General features: G+C 40.9%; 1 protein-coding gene and 1 pseudogene across 2 annotated transcripts in view, besides 2 other annotated features; one reads left to right on the top strand and one right to left on the bottom strand.

Annotated features, from left to right (window-relative positions):
- On the top strand, window positions 7,842-8,927 carry EIF2AP1 (eukaryotic translation initiation factor 2A pseudogene 1; annotated as a pseudogene).
- Window positions 13,207-13,441: a silencer, noted in NCBI's record as "fragment chr7:150176633-150176867 (GRCh37/hg19 assembly coordinates)". NCBI's record gives its function as "represses an EF-1alpha promoter that drives an FKBP-Casp9 reporter gene in an ReSE screen in phorbol 12-myristate 13-acetate-treated (for megakaryocytic differentiation) K562 erythroleukemia cells {active_cell/tissue: K562(+PMA)}" and the evidence as "EXISTENCE:reporter gene assay evidence [ECO:0000049][PMID:32094911]".
- GIMAP8 (GTPase, IMAP family member 8) overlaps window positions 13,593-20,704 on the bottom strand; it is a 28,764-nt gene continuing 21,652 nt past the window's right edge. For both annotated transcript variants that reach the window (NM_175571.4, XM_005249950.5), the window contains 2 exons: window positions 18,348-18,974; window positions 13,593-15,894 (listed from right to left, as the gene is read on the bottom strand). In NM_175571.4, the coding sequence (NP_783161.1) occupies window positions 15,206-15,894; window positions 18,348-18,974 (1,316 nt within the window). In that variant the 3' untranslated portion in view covers window positions 13,593-15,205. The remainder of the gene's footprint in view (window positions 15,895-18,347; window positions 18,975-20,704) is intronic.
- Window positions 14,892-16,091: an enhancer, noted in NCBI's record as "CDK7 strongly-dependent group 2 enhancer chr7:150173983-150175182 (GRCh37/hg19 assembly coordinates)". NCBI's record gives its function as "activates an origin of replication core promoter dependent on BRD2, BRD4, P300/CBP, MED14 and CDK7 cofactors, with strong dependence on CDK7, by STARR-seq in HCT116 cells {active_cell/tissue: HCT116}" and the evidence as "EXISTENCE:reporter gene assay evidence [ECO:0000049][PMID:35650434]".

Below are 20,704 nucleotides of genomic sequence, written 5' to 3'. Positions count from 1 at the left end.
ACCAAAAAAAAAAACCTTTACAGTTAGTATTATACTTAATAGTAAGAGAATGAATTCTTTCTCCCAAGATTGAAAACCAGGCAAGGTATCTGCTTTTACCACTCTGAGTGCTGTAAGTTTCAGTCAGTGCAATAAAATAAGAAAAGGAAATAAAAGGAAAACAGTCAGACAAGGAAGAAATAAAACTGCATCTATTTTCAAATGGCACCATTGTCTATGTAGAAAATGTCAAGGGACCTATTAAGAAAATCTCCTAAAACTAATAAGTGAGTTTAGCAAAGTGACAGGAAATGAGATAAAAATGCAAAAATAAATTGTATTTCTCTTTTTTAATTTTTTTTATTATACTTCAAGTTCTGGGGTACGTGTATAAAATGTGCAGGTTTGTTACATACGTATACATGTGCCATGTTGGTGTGCTGCACCCATTAACTCGTCATTTACATTAGGTATATCTCCTAATGCTATCCCTCCCCCTTCCCCCCACCCTACAACAGGCCCCGGTGTGTGATGTTCCCCACCCGGTGTCCAAGTGTTCTCATTGTTCAATTCCCACCTATGAGTGAGAACATATGGTGCTTGGTTTTTTGACCTTGTGATAGTCTGCCGAGAATGATGGTTTCCAGCTTCATCCATGTCCCTACAAAGGACATGAACTCATCATTTTTTATGGCTGCATAGTATTCCATGGGGTATATGTGCCACATTTTCTTAATCCAATCAATCATTGATGGACATTTGGGTTGTCCAAGTCTTTGCTATTGTGAATAGTGCCACAATAAATATAAGTGTGCATGTGTCTTTATAGCAGCATGATTTATAATCCTTTCGGTATATACCCAGTAATGGAATGGCTGGGTCAAATGGTATTTCTTGTTCCAGATCCTTGAGGAATCACCACACTGTCTTCCACAATGGTTGAACTAGTTTACAGTTCACCAACAGTGTAAAAGTGTTCCTATTTCACCACATCCTCTCCAGCACCTGTTGTTTCCTGACTTTTTAATGATCGCCATTCTAATTGGTGTGAGATAGTATCTCATTGTGGTTTTGATTTGCATTTCTCCAATGGCCAGTGATGATGAGCATTTTTTCATGTGCCTGTTGGCTGAATAAATGTCTTCTCTTGAGAAGTGTCTGTTCATATCCTTCACCCACTTTTTGATGGGACTGTTTGTTTTTTTCTTGTAAATTTGTTTGAGTTATTTGTAGATTCTGGATATTAGCCCTTGGTCAGATGAGTAGATTGCAAAAATTTTCTCCCATTCTACAGGTTGCCTGTTCACTCTGATGGTAGTTTCTGTTGCTGTACAGAAGCTCTTTAGTTTAATTAGATCCCATTTGTCAATTTTGGCTTGTGTTGCCATTGCTTTTGGTGTTTTAGACATGAAGTTCTTGCCCATGCCTATGTCCTGAATGGTACTGCCTAGGTTTTCTTCTAGGGTTTTTATGGTTTTAGGTCTAACATGTAAGTCTTGAATCCATCTGGAATTAATTTTTGTATAAGGTGTAAGGAAGGGATCCAGTTTCAGCTTTCTGCCTATGGCTAGCCAGTTTTCCCAGCACCATTTATTAAATAGGGAATCCTTTCCCCATTTCTTCTTTTTGCCAGGTTTGTCAAAGATCAGATGGTTGTAGATCTGTGGTATTATTTCTGAGGACTCTGTTCTGTTCCATTGGTCTGTATCTCTGTTTTGGTACCAGTACCATGCTGTTTTGGTTACTGAAGCCTTGTAGTATAGTTTGAAGTCAGGTAGCGTGATGCCTCCAGCTTTGTTCTTTTGGCTTAGGATTGTCTTGGCAATGTGGGCTCTTTTTGGTTCCATATGAACTTAAGTAGTTTTTTCCAATTCTGTGAAGAAAGTTGTTGGTAGCTTGATGGGAATGGCATTGAATCTATAAATTACCTTGGAGTGTATGGCCATTTTCACGATATTGATTCTTCCTACCCATGAGCATGGAATGTTCTTCCATTTGTTTGTGTCTTCTTTTATTTCATTGAGCAGTGGTTTGTAGTTCTCCTTGAAGAGTTCCTTCACATCCCTTGTAAGTTGGATTCCTAGGTATTTTACTCTCTTTGAAGCAATTGTGAATGGGATTTCACTCATGATTTGGCTCTCTGTTTGTCTGTTATTGGTGTATAGGAATGCTTGTGATTTTTGCACATTGATTTTGTATCCTGAGATTTCGCTGAAGTTGCTTATCAGCTTGAGGAGATTTTGGGCTGAGACAAGGGGGTTTTCTAAACATACAATCGTGTCATCTGCAAACAAGCATAACTTGACTTCCTCTTTTCCTAATTGAATACCCTTTATTTCCTTCTCCTGCCTAATTCCCCTGGCCAGAACTTCCAATACTATGTTGAATAGGAGTGGTGAGAGAGGGCATCCCTGCCTTGTGCCAGTTTTCAAAGGGAATGCTTCCAGTTTTTGCCCATTCAGTATGATGTTGGCTGTGGGTTTGTCATAGATAGCTCTTATTATTTTGAGATACATCCCATCAATACCTAATTTATTGAGAGTTTTTAGCATGAAGGGCTGTTGAATTTTGTCAAAGGCCTTTTCTGCATCTATTGAGATAATCATGTGGTTTTTGTCTTTGGTTCTGTTTATGTGATGGATTGTGTTTATTGATTTCCATATGTTGAACCAGCCTTGCATCCCAGGGATGAAGCCCACTTGATTATAGTGGATAAGCTTTTTGATGTGCTGCTGGATTCAGTTTGCCAGTATTTTATGGAGGATTTTTGCATCAATGATGCGAGAGTACTATTATTTTCTAACAGAGGAGAAAACTGAGGCCCAGGGAGCTTAGATGCATAAATAAAGCCACCCATTGTGCAAGATCTGGAACCCTAATCTAAGATGGTTCATTCTCCTGTCCCTTCATGCATCTCTTCAGATCCCAACCCACCTACTTATTAATAAGAGTATGGGAAATTGGGAAGTGAAACCTCATGTCAAAGATTGGTGTGCAGGAATCTGAATTATGAAACACAGTTCTCTTTGGTCATCTGTGCTCAATCTTAAGAAAAAAAGGTCCTTGTAGATGTTTGGAAACAGTATACATTATTAAGAAAGGCATGTTGAAATCTCCAACTATAATTGCGGATTTGTCTGTTTCTCCATTTCTGTCAATTTTCACTTCTTGAATTTTGAAGTTCTGTTATTTTTTGAAGCTGTTAGTTATTAATTAGTTGGATGCACAGCCAGTATTATTGTCTTGTTGATGAACTAATTTTTTAGCATTATTATTATGCTATTTATTATTATGAAGTGTTCTTTATGCCTGATGAAGAGATAGCACTGTTCTGAAGCCCACTTTGTCTGATAACTAATATAGCCATTGTCGTTTTTGTATGTGTAATGTATGCATGATGTATATCTTTTTCAGTTCTTCTACATTTAACCCATTTGTGTTTTTATATTTAAAGTGACTTTCCTTTAGATAGCATACAGTGAAGTCTTGCTTTTTTATCCAATCTGACAATGTGTCTTATAATTGGAGCATTTAGAAATTTACATCTAATATGATTATCAATATGGTTGTGTTTAAATCCATCATTTTGCTATTTGTTCCAACTATTCTTTTTGATGCCAACTTTTTTGTTTATTTTAAGGTGGAGTCTTGCTCTGTCACCCATGCTGGAGTGCAGTGGTGCGATCTTGGCTCACTGCAACCTTCGTCTCCTGGGTTCAAGCGATTCTCCTGCCTCAGCCTCCCAAGTAGCTAGGACTACAGGAGCATGCCACCACACCAGGCTAATTTTTGTTTTGTTTGTTTGTTTGTTGTTTTTTGTAGTAGAGACAGGGTTTCACCATGTTGGCCAGACTGGTCTCAAACTCCTGACCTCAGGTGATCCACCTGCCTTGGCCTCCCAAAGTGCTGGGATTACAGGTATGAGCCACCATGCCTGGCCTTTTATGGCAACTTTTTAAAATTTCATTTTATTCCCACCATTGCTTTATTATCTGCACCTTATTTTATTCTCTGTAACATCACATTCTACCGTCAGTAAATATTATGTCACTTCATCTATAAGACCTTTATAATATTATACTTTCACTCCCTTCTTTCTACCTTCTGCATTATTGCTGTCAAACATTTTACATTTACATAAAAGGTACATTCAATGAAAATGGTTTCAAGAATCTATCATCTATCTTCTAAAGAAATTTTAAATGATAAAAAGAATATTTTATATTTATCCAAGTATTTACTATTTTTGATCTCTTATTCTTTTGTGGAGATCTCAGTTGACATCTATTTTCATTTTCCACCCGCTTGACCTATCTCATGAATCAGTCCTGAGCAGCCTATTGTCCAATGTCAGGAAACAGTTCCTTTATATATTTTACCATTTTTCTGGTTGTTTATGGAAGGAGGGTAAATAACAATTCCCATTACTCTATCATGGCATGAAACAAAAGATTTTTCCCCATTTCTTTTCTTCCAATGTATTCATTTAAAAATACCATATAATTTGTACTATTGATTTTTCTCCATTCTGAATTTTTCTGTTTAATATCACTTGCCATGTTCCTCAGTCTCATACATTTTTATAAACTGGAATTTAGCTGTGGTTGATTTGATCAGAGAGGTCACAATCAAGTTCAATTTTTTTACAATATTACTCATAGATGATGTTGTATATTTCCATCGGGGGCACTTGATGCCTTGCTTTTTCTCTTTTTATGTTAGCAGTTATTCATGAGCATTGTATAGATCCATTACCTTATTGTATGTTGCAAAATGGTGATATCGTATTCTCACATGTCCTTTCTTTTAAGTAGCTAGAATATTTTTTATTAAGATATTCTCTTCCTCTTCAATTGTTTAGTAGCTGGAAGAACAGTTTATGCAGGCAAGGGAGAAGAATTGCTTGATAAACACCGGGATGAATTACAAATGAATAAAACATTTAAATGCTAGAAAAAAATTTTTTAAGTCCTAGAAAGAAACAGAAAACAATTCCATTAAAATCTATACATGTGGAAGGCATGACTCAAAAACCAGACGTACACATAATTTGATTAATTTGCCTATGTAATAGTGATACACTTCTACATAACAAAAACAAACTAAAATATGACAACCTGAAAAATAATATTTGTAACTCATAGAATAGACAAGTGACTAAGCTCTTACTGTGTAGAGTGTCAGGCTGTGCTTACTGCTTGTTACCAGCGTATCACTGTGGTGCTGGATGTCAATAGTTGGGGATGTTGGGCATGTGTGAGGATAGGGAGTGCCTGGGAACTCTGTGCTTTCCACTCAATTTTGCTGTGAATCTAAAACTGCTCTAAAAAATAAAGTTTGCTGATTGTAAAGATGCAAAAGTCCAACAATTCATTGTAAAAATGGACAAAATATATGAAAAAATTTTAACAGAAAAAAACTGATATTAAACATATAGAAAAGATGCTTAATCTCACTCACACGGAGAGAAATGCAATTTCAAACTGCACTGAGATATGATTTCTCCCCATCAGATTTTCAAAACCCATGATATGAGAACAAACATGCACCTTCACACTTCATTAGTGAAAACACAGAGTGGCATAACCAATGTGGAGGGAAATAATAGCAAACAATGAAGTGCTGTCTGAAACTGCAAAGTTTTAGAAATATCCCAAATGAAATGGGTTAACACAAATGCAGGTATTGTTACACAAAGGACTACTATATCGTTGTATAAAACAAATAAGGAGACTCTCTAGATACTGAGATGGAGCAATCCCCATGATATGTTGTTAAGTGAAAAGAACAAGACATAGAGCCATATATATAAACAGTATGCTACCTTTTATGTTAAAAAAAAAAAAAAAAGAGAGAGAGAAGGAATTAAGAATCTATGGCCAGGCACATGGGCTCAACTATAATCCCAACACTTTGGGAGGCTGAGGTGGAAGGATTGCTTGAAGACAGGAGCTCAAGACCAGCTTGGGCAGTATAGTGAGACCCTCCCTGCCTCCATCTCTGAAAAAAAAAAAATTAACCAGGTGGGCATGAAGACACTTGCTGGTAGTCTTAGCTACTTGGAGGCTGAGGCAGGAGGACCATGAGCTCAGAAGTTCAAGGCTGCAGTGAGCTACGATCATGCCACAGCACTCCAACCTGGGTGACAGAGGGGACTCTGTATCCGAAAAAAGAAAGAAAGAAAGGAATTAAGAACGTGCACTGCAATTTGTTTACATTTTTAGAAAGAAACAATGTAAGTATACCCAAGAAACAATGGTTACTTCAGAAAACTGTGGGAGAACCAGGCAGGCAAGGTGGAATCAAGACATCTTAAATTTGCCTTTTCATATTCTTTTGTTTTTTGAATCATGTAAATATATTATTTATTCAAAAATTAGATGTGAAAAGAGTCCCCAGCCTTCCTTATCATAAAGTCATAATATATTTTTTACACTTAAACTTATTTTTTTACAAAGGAAGTTGAAGGTAACATCTGTGCTGTGTTGCAGCTGCCCCAACAACCAAAGATTGCTGTTGTACCATTATTTGTACAGAATATAATTCTCTGGCTGAACCTTATCTGACGTTTACGGTCTCTTTTATTTTATCTCACAAATGTAAGGGGAAAAGTGGATTTTCAGAAACAGTCATCCATTAATGATTAAAACTTAAAACAAATATCAGAAGCCCCAGAGACTGTTTTTAAAAATTGTGTACTAAGAGTTAGTAGTAGCTAGAGGTGATTCATTCATTCATTAAAAGGGGAAATCGTTTGTAATGTTAAGCTAATATCAGAGTAGTTTTTGGGAAGATAGATGTGATTGAAATATTTTGGTATGTTCTTGGAGTGAAACAGAAAAACAGATTGCCTACCCTACCAGACATGACTGTTGATATACTTAGACAAAATCTTGGCTTGCAATGTTGTTGGATTTATGCAAAGCCATTTTCTTAAAATATCTGAATCTGAATATTACCTTTATTTTTCTCTTGGCATCTCTTTTATAACCAAACATATCTTAATTTCACCTGAGGACAGACGGGTGCCTCCAACAGAATTTAGCCATGTTCATGTGCTTAGAAATTCCAAAAAGTAAGCATGTTAATACTTTTCGAACCACCGTTCACATTCCAGGTGTTACTGTTTCGATTCAGCGTGCCGATGAGCCCCTTCTTTCCTCCATAGCTCTGAATAATAGCATATATACCCCAGGCGCGGTGGCTCACGCCTGTAATCCCAGCACTTTGGAAGCCTGAGGCGGGCAGATCACGAGGTCAGGAGATCGAGACCATCCTGGCTAACACGGTGAAACCCCCGTCTCTACTAAAAATACAAAAAATTAGCTGGGCGTGTTGGCGGGCGCCTGTAGTCCCAGCTACTCGGGAGGCTGAGGCAGGAGAATGGCGTGAACCCGGGAGGCGGAGCTTGCAGTGAGCCGAGATCGCGCCACTGCACTCCAGCCTGGCCAACATAGCGAGACTCCGTCTCAAAAAAAAAAAAAATAGCATATATACATAAAGAATGGAGTCGGTTGGGCAAATGATCACCTTTTCATCCAAAACACAGAGCCCCCTAAGATGTTGGAGTGAAGAACACAACAAGAATGAAAGTTCAAAATGAGGCTTCCCAAATTTTCTTTCTAAATGGAGTAGCATGAGCCCACAGTACAACTCAGCTAACATCCATACCACATTAGACTGAGAAAAGTAAACCTGAAGAGGAAAGATTAGCCGGAATCTGCCCAAAATAGGCCTACTCCAGACAGCTTATAACATGGAAAAAGGAAGCCCCAGGCAGGCTACGTATACATGGGTGTAGGGAGATCTAGGAACCTGTTTCCTGGTTTGAGGCAAAGTAACATTAGTAGTGAGAACTAAAATACAATCTAAAAGCTATCAGTGAGTTGGTAATAGGTAATGCAGATGTCGACAAAACCATAGTTTCCTACTGTCAATAACAAACCTGTTTCTATATTGCAACAAATAAAATGCTATAATGTAAATACTGAAGAGTGATCCCATTTATAATGAGTTGGGCCCTCTAGGAAAACTCTTGTCAAAGCAGCAATTCTCTACTTGCTGTGTGATTGTAAACTTGACTTTGGAACTGGCTCTTGTAATACAGTCTACTATAGTCTTCATACATATTACCACTGTATTCATACATATTACTACTGTAGGGGTTTGGAAATCAAGGGGAAAAATTGTGGGATGTTAAAAACCACAAACTTATTTCCAAACCTATGGCTTCAAATTTTACATACTTTGCTTGGTGCCCAGATAAAGAGCTGTACAATGTTTTTTCTGCATCCAGTGAAATGATCATGCAATTTTTGTCCTTCATTCTATTAATATGGTGTAATACATGACTGATACTTGTATACTGAACCTGTCTTGCAACAACTACTACATGTGCCCCCAGGTTATGTGTTAATAATGGGTGCGAGATTTTCCATTATACTAGCTCTATCCTGCACAAAAATATCATGCCATCAAATGCAGAAATCGTTAGCGAAAAATTCTGGACATAGTATTTCCAATAAAATCAATAACTTATTAAGCAGTTCTAAGTACCCTGTGAGGAGCCAATATTGCAATGACTTTTAGAACTCCACTTAGAAGAAATGAACAAGTCATTGATCTTAAGCTACATGAGGAGGGGCCGCAGAGAATATGAAACTACAAGGGCAAATAACAAGCCATTTCCCAAAACATCCCCTAAGAACAAAGGAAGCATGAAGCCAGTCACTGCAAAACAGGAAACACACCCCAAAATATCTTCTCTCAGCCAACATGAAGAGATTTTAAGATAGCGGGGAAAACATGAGAACCTAGGAAACTGAAAACAATCAAACAACTGAAATAACAAGCAGCAACCGGCAAACAGCTAGGAAAAAAAGCAGCTGGAGAAAATTCAAAAAGAGATAGCCCTTCTCCAGGAGCTAGAAGATTTAGAAATGAGTCTTTTAGGTATTTAAAGAACATAAATTGAATGCCAGAAATCAGTATAAATATATCTTCTTGTTAAACCTGATGGGGTACTCTAAACATTCTTATGCCCATACTTGATGATCATTTATAATGTATCCAATATTCTGAATATGTGGGGTTTTTAAATGTTTATTAAATGGACTTTTCCTACCTTTCAATGTAATGTAGAAGGGGGTAGGAATGAGTTTTTTTAACCAAAGCTTGACAGACTAAAACAGAGATATTATTATCCACTAAAGAACAGTCTCTCAAGACACAAATAAAAGCGTCTTACACTTTTTTAAAAGAGGAAGGAGCAAAAGGAAGAGTGATCAAAATCAGGAAGGAAGGCTGCATGCTGACTCTGCATGTTCTCTGCAGAACCTCCAGTAAAAGTTCCTGAAACTAAAACAACAGGAAAAAGAAAAAGTCGAATAGGAATAATTGTGTGTGTGAATACCAGGGTGTTTTTTTTTTTTTTTTAAAGTAACAGTAAAAACACCACATTTTAGGCTTTTGGAGTCTTGCACCAACAAAGAAACAGTGCATAATTCTGTAGGACTGAGGAGGTAGAGAAAAGGCTGAGGAAAAAGAGGACTCTTAGAAACAGTGGGGAGGATCTCAGGATTTTTCTTTCTTTTAAATTAGTACTATATTTATTCTTTTTCATTACCTTGTTCCTTTTTTAATTTTTATTTCAATGGTTTTTGGGGTACAGGTGGTTTTTGGTTACATGGATAAGTTATCTAGTGGTGATCTCTGAGATTTTAGTGCACCCGTCACCCAAGCAGAGTACACTGGACCCAGTGTCGTCTTTTATCCCTCATCCCCCTCCCAATCTGCCCCCCTCCCAGTTCCTCAGTCCATTATATCATTCTCGTGCCTTTGCGTCCTCATAGCTTAGCTCCCACTAAGAAATGAGAAAATACACTATTTGGTTTTCCATTCCTGAATTGCAAGTGGGATCTCCCAGGGCACCACTGGACAGGTCAAATAATGACATTTTTCTAGAAATGGGACTTTTAAGGGGCTCTAACTCCATTCAGCTCCCTTCAGTGGCTTCCAGGCTGCTAGTTTTCATAGTGATTTTAGTTTTTTGGTTTTCAAGGTTACCACAGAGTTGGGGGTAATGAGAAAGGGGCAAGTTGAAACATGACAGAACTCACTATTCTTACTATTTTTCTTGAATGAACACTCTCAATATTGCTTCAAGCGTTGGGTTGATACCCAGAGTTCTGAAAAAAAAAAAAAAAAAAAGAGTTGATTCTGACTATTTTTTGACAGTGTTCTCTATCTTTGTGGAGATTTTTGGAGGACATTATTCTGCTATTCCCACTGACATCATCTCACAATTATATTTGTCTTATAAATATATAGCATTATGGTTGCAGTGTGAAAGGTAATTTGAGAGAAGCAAGCCTCGAAACAGGTTCAATCCAAAGAAACAGTTGCAACAATCCAGTCCAGAAACGATGGTGACCATAACTCGAGTAGAGATAAGGAAAAAAAAAAGTGGATGCTCCAGAGAGACATGAAGCCTTTATAATACACAACTCTTTTGTTATTTGTTGGAAGAAAGAGTCAAGGCTTCTGTCATGGACAACTAGACAGATTATGGCACCATTTGCAAAATAGGAAACCCAGGAAGGAAGGGATGAACAGCCAGTGGAGCCAAAAGTGGTGCCCGTGAGAACCTCATTACCCAGTGAAAACACAAATAGAAGAAAGACCAAAGGTGTTTAGCGCATGCTCCAATACCCAGTAGGCCTTGCAGTGTTGACTTGAAGCTGTGGTGGCCAACAGGATTGAAAGGCATGCTTTGTAGTTAACAGTGCCTAGTAAGCAGCACCCAGTGGAGAAGGATTTGGATCAGGACAAAAGTAAAACCAAGATAAACACCACGTGACAAGTGACAGAAATTTTCGGTAGCTAATGTAACTCATCCATTGGGAAACCTCAGAAATAAATTGAGGGAAACAGGAACTTGCTGGCAGCCCATAGTGCTGCAAGAGCAGGTGGGTTGCAAGCTAGGAAAACATTCATAATTATTGTCGACATGATGTCATTTTAAACTTCAGGTTACTGATGATTTTTGAAGGACAAATTACAAGTATATTCCCAGAGGGTCTTTTAGGCATGACACCTTGGCCCTGGCTTGACCCCTTTTAGTCTAGCCTACACGCTGCCCTATAATCTGTGGGTCAGGAAACGCAAGCCCGCCACACTACCACCCACCAACATACATGAGGACGATGTGAAGTGAAGAGCAATAAACAGGAAGTTTGTAGCTGAAGAGGAAAATGTATCATGCTGATCATGCTGTTCACAACTAGATTTTACACCAGTCTGTTGAGCACATCCTGTGTGTATTCACAGAAATACAGAGGTGCAAGAGTGAAGGCCACGGAGGTTTCTCATGAACATCAAGCTGCCTCTCATGGGAGAACGGGAGGTGGGCCTGCCGATGCCTTCATCTGCTAGGGAGGATGATAGTGTGCTAGTGGTAGAGGCTGGACCAGTGGGCCCATGGAACAAGCTAATGTAAGGATGAGCTAGGAAGGAGAGGGTTTTTACTGAAAAGGTGGATGCTTCATTTGAGGGAGGAGGAGAAGAGGCTCATAGCCAAGTGGCCTGGGGATTCTTCTAGGGAAGTGAGCTTGCTGGCAGGCTTCACAGATCATGTCAGCAACTTAGCTGACTCCCTTGCAGAAATTTAGCCAAATTTTATGGGACTTTCTGTCGTCATGGAATCACGAAACTATTTTTTTTTTTTTTACTCTTTATGCTAAGTTCATCACAAAAGCCTTGTTCTTCAGTAAATCTTGCTCAGTGCAGGAAAAGAGAGAAATGAAGTGAAAAGGATTGCTCTGAGGAAGGAGAGGAGGCTGGGGGTGCTGGATGACCCTTTGTGAAAAATAAGCATGTTCTTAGTGCATCAGCAAAACAGAGGCACTGTAAATAGGCAAAAAACATTTCCTTAGAAGTTACCTCTCCCACTCTCTAACCAAAAGAGGTCTGGATCATCTGTACATCCTGCAGTCTATCACATTGGTCCACTGTATCAGGGTCTCTCAGCCTTGGGACTATTGACATTTTGGTCCAGATAACTCTGTTGTGGGGGACTGTCGTGTGCATCTTAGGATGTTCAGTAGCATCCCTGGATTCTATTTACCACATACCAGTAGCACCCACTCCCTGTTGTGGCAACTAAAAAATTCTCCAGGAGGCTGGGTGTGGTGGCTCACGCCTGTAATCCCAGCACTTTGAGGGGCCAAGGCGGGCAGATCACGAGGTCAGGAGATCAAGACCATCCTGGCTAACACAGTGAAACCCCATCTCTACTAAAAGTAATTTTTAAAAAAAATTAGCCGGGCGTGGTGGTGGGCGCCTGTTGTCCCAGCTACTCGGCAGCCCGAGGCAGGAGAATAGCATGAACCTGGGAGGCGGAGCTTGCTGTGACCCCAGATCACACCACTGCGCTCCAGCCTGGGTGACTGAGGAAGACTCCGTCTCCAAAAAAAGAAAAAGAAAATTTCTCCAGGAATTGCCAAATGTCTTCTACAGGGCAAAATTGTTTCCAGTTGAGAACTAGCACATTACCTCAATGATGTCACATTGGAGAGGCAGGACAAGCAATAGGTGGCCAGCATGATAGTGGCCTTGGTAAGACACATATGTTTGAGAGAGTAGAATATCAGTTCTGGACTTCCAGCTCAAGGAGGGTCTTCAGTGAGACATGGAGGATGTCCGCCAATTATGGCAGTGAGGAAGGGATGCCACTCTTGAAGGCTTTCACTTCAAGAAGAAACTTGCCATTCAGCTCCAGCTGCAACACTGTCAGGTCCCATCTGAGCTTCTGAGCTGAAGCCATGCTTTCTCCAGCCAGTCCCCAGCCTAAAGCGGAGCACAGCAGAGCTCCTAGTGTCTGTCCAATGCAGGACTTGGCTATTAATCTGTCTTTGCCCCAGAATTCCCTATTGAGTTGGCCTGGGCTTTGCCAGGCTCTTCCTGCCCAACTCAGCTCCTCCCCACTTTTCTCTTGCAAGTGTCCAGTCTAAATGACAGTCTGAAGGCTTTCCCTGCCCAATTTGGCTTCTTCCCTCTTTTGTCTTTCATGAGCTTTCCCCATAAACCTCTTGTGCTCCTAACTCTTTCTCGGCATGTATTTCTCAGAGAAACTGACACAGCAGTATTGTTGCCCCGTTCAGACTTGGACCTGAAGGAAAACAGCAAGGTATGTTAGAGCCAACCTGTGAGAGGATGCCACATTGCTTAGCCCACACATCACCCACCTTGTGCAGCTCCCAGTGTCACCTGCTCAGCCATAGGTAGCACACTGGGATTTGTTTCTGCCTTCAGGCAGAAGGGAAGCTCAGGGAAGAAGCACAAAATGCCTTTCAGACCTTATTCCTCCCATGTTTCTGGTTCTAATACTGGTTACATTTATTTGTCCTTGCTATACTTAGATGTCCAGAGTGAAAGATAACTGAGCTGTCAGGGACCTGCCACACAAATGGCTGTCACCCAGTCTAAATGAAGGTCCTCAGGCACCAAAGATACAAAAACCTCGCCTGAGTCAAGGTATCTAAACATCTCAATTGTCTCTTCATGAAGGTATGCTGCTTCCCTAAATCACAAAAATAGAAATCAGAAAGAGAATGTGAATTCATAATGATTCATCTTTATTATTTGATTCAACTAAATATATTTACACACTTTTTTTTACTTTCCAATTTTTATTTCAGGTTCAAGGGGTACATGCACAGGTTTGTTACATGAGTAAGTTGTGTGTCACAGGGGTGTGGTGTACAGGTAATTTTGTCACCCAGGAAACCAGCATAACACGCAATAGGCAGCTTTTCAATCTTCACCCTCCTGCCACCCTCCACCCTCAAGTATACCCTGGTGTCTATTGTTCCCTTCTTTGTGTCTACGGCACACACATTTTCTAGAAGTTATTGTGTTAAGGGTTATATGGAATCCAAAAGTATTAATGGCAACAGTCCATGTCCTTTTAAATGGATTAATGTTGACGGTAACCTGATATTGTCTAGGGGAAAAAAACAGATGACAAAGATTATGCTCTCAAAGCATGTACAAAGTGCTCAACATTTTACCCTGTATCTATCTTATCCTGTATCTACCCAGAAGAAGGTTCCAGATTTCTCTCTCACATATCACCCACCTCTCAAAATAATCTGCTCAGCTATGGAAAGAACACCACTGTCTTGAAACCAAGAAGCAAATTCGAGTGTAGAAGCCACATCCCAGTGCAGGTGGGACAGAAAGATAGAACAAAACTGGGATGTTGACGCCCACCAGCCCCAGCCTGCTTATTCCTCGGCTTCCTGACAGGAGATACAGGAAGCCCCTGATGTTTTTAAACCATTATTATTGGAGTTCTCTGAGTTTTAACCTGTTTCCTAACCTCAAGGGAAAGAGAAGGAGAAAGAGAAACGCAATGGAGATTCTAATAACCTTCTCTAGAGGAAATCTAGAACAACACTTAGAATTACAGAACTTTGCAAGATTCTCTGATTTTGGCAATCTTACTATGCTTCTAATTTCTGTTCTAGTCTATGTCACTGTGATAATTAGCAATAAAATCATTCAGAACCTCCAAGACTCATGTCTGTTTCCTCAGGGACAGCCAGCAATGGAAGACTATGTCCCACTTCACATCTAGGCGTGGAACGTGAAGAGCCGTAAGGAATGGCTAACGTGTGAAGAAAAGAACACTCTAGCCCTAAGTCGCATCCCAAAGGAGACAGGAGAGCTCAGGGAGCCAACGGCCCTGGACAACAGGGAGGCCCTCTGGAGTCTGCTTCCTGCTTCCGCCATGCCCAGGAGTGTGCTGAACGCTGCCCTGGTCTCATGTATCTGGATCCCCTGGGTTGTTGTACGACTATCTATATTCTCATCCCAGGTGGCCTCAGCCTTGATCACAGTGTCTATCCTGATTCCAACCTACCTACACAAGTGAGGTGATTCTTGTGACTTGATTCTACCACTTATTATCAGCCTAATGTCTGAAATCTTTTTCCAGATTTCCCCACCTTGTATCTTCTTTCTCCTTTATAATACCCTACTATTCGCCCCCACCTGCAATTTATTTATCTACAAATAGCTGATACATCACAAGGCGGGATGCATTTGCCTCTCAGGCCCTCAAAGCCATGAACCCGCTTCCCTTCCCACAGGTTGTACCATGCCCCGCCCCTCCCCCCAACCTGAGGGTGTCTCTAATTGAAGAGACCCCAGGCACTTCGGCTACCTATTGTAAAATACCTATTAAATTTTTAAGGAGTTTTTCGGCTTGGGACATTTCCTGGACATTTTTAATTAGTTTGCTGACGTTCTCCTGTGTATGGGGATACCCGGACCACCCACTTTCTTTTCTCAGATCATTGACCTTTGTTAAAAGAGCTTTCACCTGGGTTTCCTGGGCCTGGCCTGTTTCTTTGTTGTTAAAAGCACAAACTCGCCGCCCACACTTTTTAAAAATGCGCCGAAGGGCTTTGTTATCTGAGTTCTTCATGAAGTCTTCCAAATTCCCCGCCCCTAGGTCTTCCTTCCGGGTGAACAGCATAATCGCGTATTTCGTAAAGTCTGCTCCAAAGATGGCCTCCAGTTTCGCCACAGCTGTTTTGTCCTCTTCAGTGAATCGTCCCAGCTGGAACACCAGGACAAAAAATGTGTCCCCTTTTTCACAGCAGGACAAACAGCGCTTGACCTCCTCTTCTAACCGGGATGGGTCCTTTTCGACATCCAGCATCTGGTTGAAGGAAGGAGTGTCCACAACCACCACCTCCTGTCCGTCCCATGTCCTCCTGCCACTCTGGCTGGTCTTGGTGACTGGCTGGGCCCGGAGCCGAGAGGTGAAGACGAGGCTCCCCAGGATAGAGTTCCCGGTCGCACTCTTCCCAGTCCCGCTTCTCCCCACAAGGACAATGTTCAGGGTTTCTGTCAAAGGAAAGTGGGAAAGATTCGTGACCATGGGCTGATCTGAAATTGGATTTTAAAGTTATCCCATGAAGCAAGATTACATCACTAAAGTAAACAGCATGTTCAAACAGCATCAAGACCTCCTTCTCACCCAAGCAGGGGGATCTCCAAACACGGGAATGACTTGGCCCAGTTCACTCAGTCTGTGGACTCATGGCAGGACTTGGACTACATACAGTCTCCGTCCAGGGTTCATCCACCAATGTGGCACTGTTCCTATCACTGAATCGGCTCTGCTCCCTTTTTGCAGCACCTTCCAGACAGACTCCCTGGCACCTGTGAGTGTCCCCTGGCCTTCTTACTCTCTGCTCCCCTCAGCTGGGTTCCGTCTACACATCTCATCCCTTTGTCTTCTGTTCCTGTTACAACTACATCTTCTCACTCCCAACTACTGCTAACTATAGCAACATCTCCTTACAGTATTTAAAGAATTATTCTGTAAAATTGACTTTCATGAAAAAGAAACTCTACATATCACTGATAGATTACCAGTTTCCTTAGTTAGGACATGTAAAAATTCATTTCTCATTAAAACCACATTGAACTTAATTGCCTTTCACTGATGAGTCAGAAGAAACCGCATGGTTATAATAATGAATATCCACTAACACTGTTGGGTGTGTGGTGTCCATGATGGAGAAAGAGAATGAATTTCCCTATAAATGGAATTTACAGACACATAGAGACCTTACAATATGCGTTCTTTGGAGATCGTTCTTATGCTTTTGCACTTGCACTGTGACAGTCCAGTGCTCATTCAAGTCTCTTCGTAGTTCTCTTCCATTATGAATTTCATATCAAATAGCTAATATCTACTTCAATGCAAAGGAGGAAGAAAGCACATCCCATGCTCTTCCTTCAAGGGGAAATTATTAACCTGTTTATGCTGAAACTTCAACTTCATAGTTATGCCCAGCAGATGAACAATAGCTTAATCTTCCAACACTCCCATATTTGTCATATATTTCAGTCCCTACTTCTGTACCTACAGAGGGTGTGTTTCTCATGTACCTCTGAAATCCGGCCCCACTCCCCATCCCATATTCTCTAATTCAGTGTTCTTAATGTTCAACGCCTTAATCTTCAATGTTCTTGGAAGATGTCCTTTAGAGCTGTGAACCCCCATCTCCACCAAGATTATTCTTTTTTGTCCCCTAACAAGTGACATGCTTAGTCCTACCTCTTTGCTTCAAATTGCTGGTGTACTCTCTGGAATATCTTCCAGCTTTCTGCTCAGCCATTTAATCCCTACCCATTCTCTAAAACCTGTTTCAAATTGGGCTTTCTACACAAAGCCTCTCCTGACTTTCCCATGTATCTATACTTCTAAAGGAGGGTTCAATAAGAAAATATGCTCCTTTGGGTTTTATCTTCTTCCTGGGTGAGGATGTTTGAAGCAGAAAAAAAAACGGGATGAGTAAGAATGGGAAGGACCTCAGCATAGGTCAACTGAACGTGTAGCACTAAGTGGATGAGGAGCCCTTCTTAAGTAGTAAAGAGAGCAGTGTGCCAAGCTCTGGGCAACAGTACACTGTGGGGAAACAAAGGGTTGGAAAGCATCAGCTCCTTTCTTCAAGACACTCACACTATCCAGTTGAAGAGATAGTAAAGATCATGAAAAAATTAAAGACCGGTTCAAGAGAATGTGCATGGAAAAGCTATAACTTCAGTACAATTTGAGAAGCAAAGAAAGAGAAAAGAGTTAGTCCATAGAACAGACCTATCCTTCCTTTATTTTTCTTCCAGTTTCAACTTCTTTTTTGTTTCATTTCAACTTTTATTTTAGGTACAGGTACATATACACCATAGAATAATAGGCAGCCATAAAAAAGAATGAAATCCTGTCTTTTGCAGTAACATAGATAGAGCTGGAGGCTGCCATCCTAAGCAGACTAACACAGGAACAGGAGACCTGTCCTTTTTATCTTCTCTATGCCTTTTAGAAAATGTGGCACATATACACCATGGAATACTATGCAGCCATAAAAAATGATGAGTTCATGTCCTTTGAAGGGACATGGATGAAATTGGAAATCATCATTCTCAGTAAACTATCGCAAGAACAAAAAACCAAACACCGCATATTCTCACTCATAGGTGGGAATTGAACAATAAGATCACATGGACACAGGAAGGGGAATATCACACTCTGGGGACTGTTGTGGGGTGGGGGGAGTGGGGAGGGATAGCATTGGGAGATATACCTAATGCTAGATGACGAGTTAGTGGGTGCAGCGCACCAGCATGGCACATGTATACATATGTAACTAACCTGCACAATGTGCACATGTACCCTAAAACTTAAAGTATAATAAAAAAAAAGAAAAAAAAGAAAATAAAAAGTTCTTATATATTTTATACCTATTTTTAAATGATATATGTAAAAATATATATCCTATTCACAGTTTTACCTTTTTCTCTGAAAACACAATGCTTGTTCCCATTCTGATGCACCATGCTCTCAATTTTTTCCAGGAGCTCGTCCGCCTGCCTTTGCTCTTCTTCTCCTGTTGCCCGGTAGTTGAAGGCACTATATCTGTTTTTACACTTCTGGATGAGACCATAGAGAGCTTTATTGCTGTTTCTTAAGAACGTATCTAGATCCTGATCCCCTAAATCTTCTTTCCTGGTAAGAAGTATGATCATGTACTCAAAGAATTTTTCTCCAAAATTGTTTTGGATGGTGCTCAGCACTGCCTCATCATTCTTAGTGTAAAAGCCCAGTGGTGTCACCAGCAGGAAGGCATGGGGGCCTGTACAGATGTGTTTTCTAACTTCTGAGTCAATGTTCTTTAAAGATGAGATGTCCGGAGCATCAATGATCGAAACTTTCTTTTTTCTCCAGCTTCTGCTCTCAGACAAGAAGCTCTGGGTTACTGACTGCTCACTAAATCCGGTCTGAAAGGCCTGCCTCCCCAGAATGCTGTTTCCTGCTGCACTTTTTCCAGCACCGCGTTTCCCCACAAGGAGGACTGTCAGTTCTGATGTCCCCGGATTCTGCTCGGGTCCTGTGGACTGCAGCTGCCTTTCCCTTGGGCCTGTGGGACAAATGGACAGGTTCAGAGTCTCTTCCTGCAGTTGAATATGGATGTGGGCAGGTTTTATGATTTCTCATCCCTGCAAACTTGTATAGAGAATGGCAACAACACGGTAAACCAGTAGAACTCTACTCTCAGCCAGAAGCTCTCCATCAAGGTGAAAGCCACAAACAGGGGCAGGAGTGAACTAAGAGATATTCATGGAGCTTATGATTCCCCAGGAACACGAACATGCCAACTTTGGCCTTCGTTGGTCTAGGTCCTCAGGGTTCCCCTCATTTTGTTATCAAAGGTAAGTACTGGGGCCTACCAAAGGTAAGTACGTACCAAAGGTAAGCCCAGGGGCTAAGGCAGGAGCAGGGAGAATCCGATTTTCAAATGCCCCTTGGTGGTATAAAATCAAATACACTCAGCAATTAAAAAAAAAGTGAACTAGCGATATGCAGTATAGATGGATCTCAAAAAAACACGCTAAGTAAAAGAAGCAGGACACAAAAACTGCATACTAGATGATTCTACCATATGAAGTTGAAGAACAGACCAAATTAATCTATGTTGATAGAAATCTGGATAGTGTTTCTCTTTGGCGAGGGGCAGCAAGAATCTGTAAGATGATGGAAATGCTCTATATCTTTATCTAGATGGGGATCCCATATGTATAGATATAGAAAAAGGCATCAAGCTGTTTGCTTAAGATTTGTGCATTTTACTCTGTGTAAATCGTACCTCAATAAATTGCTGTAAAAACCTGCAAACCTGCACCCTACAACTATCTCTCCACACATCCCCTGGCTGAGGCAGCATCAACACCAGACCTATGAACTGAGCAAAAGGGAGAGTCTGCAACTGCAGGGAGCTTTCTCTGAGGCTGAGTCATCAACAGCCTTCGTGGGAAGGGTCTGAGCAGCAAGTTGGGAAGGTGGGATGGACACAGCATCAAAGGCCCTTGCTGTATTGCCTTGGAAAACTTACCGCTTTGCGAATCTGTTTCCATGTTGGTAGAATGGGAATCTAATGCCCACGTTGAGGTTGAAAAGACTAAAGGAAACAGCACCTGTAAAGCCCTTAGGACCTGACTAGCACGGAAGTGTGCATGGAAGGCTTCACAGTTAAGGAAGAACTTGAGTCAGGCCTGGAAGTGCCCCTCCCTCCCTCACACTCCCCCCTACTCTCCTTTACAGACTTCAGGACTTTTGCCCATATGACAGCACTTTCTTTGCCTCCTGCCCTATCTCCTGCTGGCTACTCAGGTTCCTATGCAAATATAACTTCTTCAAGAGAACTTCACCTAAATTGCTCACCGCAAAACTATACAAATCAGCTGCCATGTGTATTTCCTCTATTCTTACCAAAATAATAATTTTATATTTATTTCGAATATGGACTCTCTTCAATTTAGAGAGACCATACAGTGCAGTGGTTAAAAGTAGGAGTGAGAAGGGATAATAAATAGCCCTTGAGAGCCAGGAGCTGGTCTGGCCTCCACAGCAAGGCCATGGCACCCTCCTGTCTCTCATCCACAGTATTACAGAAAATCAGACACGAGTCTTCCACAACCACAACCACTCTGCAATCGTATCTGAGCACACAAAAACAACAGCATTGCCCGAACATCCCCTGCACTGGCTAAATAGATGACAGCTGCCTCCTGATGGCTTTAGCCTCGTTCCACCCTTGTCACCTTGGACAGAAGAATTATTCAAACACTTCATTGTGGAACTACCCCCCAC

Source organism: Homo sapiens, chromosome 7 (assembly GCF_000001405.40).
Source record: "Homo sapiens chromosome 7, GRCh38.p14 Primary Assembly".
NCBI classification, from domain to species: Eukaryota; Metazoa; Chordata; class Mammalia; order Primates; family Hominidae; genus Homo; species Homo sapiens.
The sequence above is the reverse complement of the archived record's forward strand: the minus strand, read 5'-3'. Positions and strand labels throughout refer to the sequence as shown.